Source organism: Homo sapiens, chromosome 1 (genome assembly GCF_000001405.40).
Source record: "Homo sapiens chromosome 1, GRCh38.p14 Primary Assembly".
Taxonomy (NCBI): domain Eukaryota; kingdom Metazoa; phylum Chordata; class Mammalia; order Primates; family Hominidae; genus Homo; species Homo sapiens.
In genome coordinates this window covers 102389820-102391840 of record NC_000001.11, presented here as the reverse complement: position 1 = coordinate 102391840, position 2021 = coordinate 102389820, and positions in this window count along the sequence as shown.

Sequence of the window (2021 nt, the reverse complement as noted above, 5' to 3'; positions counted from 1 at the left end):
TTATACTGGACATTTCATATAAATGGAATAATACAATAAGTGGTCTTCGTGACAGATTCTGTTTACTGAATCTTTTCAAGACTCAGATATGTTATATCCTTTATTGGTCCTTATTTCTTTCTCATTGCTGAATAATTATTTATTGCGTGAATACGATATGTTTTGTTTATCCATTCATTAGTTGATAAAAACGTATTTCATCGTACTTCTTTCATGAATAATGTTGCTATGAACATTAAAATTTTATTATTATTATTATTTCAATGGTTTTAAGGGAACAGGTGGTGTTTGGTTATATGGATGAGTTATTTAGTGGTGCTTTCCGAGATTTTATTGCACCCATAACCTGAGAAGTGGACACTGTACCCAATGTGTAGTCTTTAATCCCCCGCCCCACTACAAGTTTTTGTTTGGACCTATGTGTTCATTTTTCTTGGGTAAGTTCTGAAGAATGGAATTACTAGGTTATATAGTAACTTGAAGTTCAGCATTTTTAGGAACTACCAAAGTATTTTCAGAGTGGCTGGTTCATTTTACATCCCCATCAGCAATGTGTGAAGGTTCCAATTTCTCCACATCTTTACCAACATTTATTAATGTCTTAATTTTAGCCATCCCAGTGGATGTAAATCAAAAAAAGGTTTTATTTTTATGAAGCCCAATTTACAAAGTTTTTTTGTTTTTTGCTATTTGTGTTTTCAGCATCATACTTAAGAAACTCTTGCTTAAGATTATGAAAGTCTATGGCAGTATATTCTAGCAATGCTATAGTTATTATAGTTATAGTTCTTACATTTAGACCTAAGATCCATTTAATTTTTGTAACAATACATCAGTTTATCTCTGGACACTCAATTCTATTACATTTATCTATATGACTATTCTTATACCACTATCACACTCTCTTGATTACTATAGCTTGTAGTAATCATTAAAATAATAAAGTTGATTCCTCCAACTTGTTTTTTTCCCCAAGATTATTTTGACTCTCTCAATCTCTTAACATTTTCATAAGAATTATAGGAAACATAATTTTTTAGGAAAACAAGTAAACAACAACTGTGATTTGGATAAAAATTGCATTGAATTTATAGATTAATATGGGGGACTACTGCAATCTTAGCAATATTGTTTTCTAATTCATGACAATGGGATATCTTTTTATTTAAATGTTTCAATTCTTTTTTATAGTTTTCAGTGTAAATGTATTGCATTTTCGAAATATTGTTATGTATTTTATTCTTTTCATTGTTATAGTAGGATTTTTTCTTAATTCAATTTTTATTATTATAATATGGAAACAAATGATTTTTTATACTAAACTTGCAATCTGACAGTTTGCTTACCTCATTTATTCTAATTTATTTTAATTAATTATTAGCATATTCTTATAATTTTCTATGTATAAGAAAATATTATCTGTATAATTTCCCTGGCTGCCATCTCAAGTGCAATATTGAAAAAAAATGGTTAGGCCAGGCATGTTGTCTCACCTGTGTAATAGCAGCACTTTGGGTGGCCGAGGCAGACAGATCACCTGAAGTCAGGAGTTGGAGACCAGCCTGACTAACATGGTGAAACCACACTTCTACTAAAGATACAAAAAATTAGCTGGGTGTGGTCACACACACCTGTAATCCAAGCTGCTTGGGAGGCTGAGGCAGGAGAATCACTTGAACCTGGGAGGCGGAGGTTGCAGTGAGCCGAGATCACCCCATTGCAACCCAGCTTCGACAGCAAGAAACTCCATCAAAAAAAAAAAAAAGAATGAAATGGTTAAAACAAGCATCATTATCTTGTTTCTGATCTTAAGCAGAAAGATCTTAGATTTTTATCATTAAAATATATTAGCTATGGAATTACATAGGTACTCCTTATTTGATCAAAAAACAACTCTTTTCTATTCCCGGTTTGTTGAGTGTTTATATCATAAGATAGTTAGACTTTGCCAAATAATTGTTGAAATATCTCTATTTTGTATTTTTTTAGGCATTTATTGGACTTTGCCAGTATACCTTCTG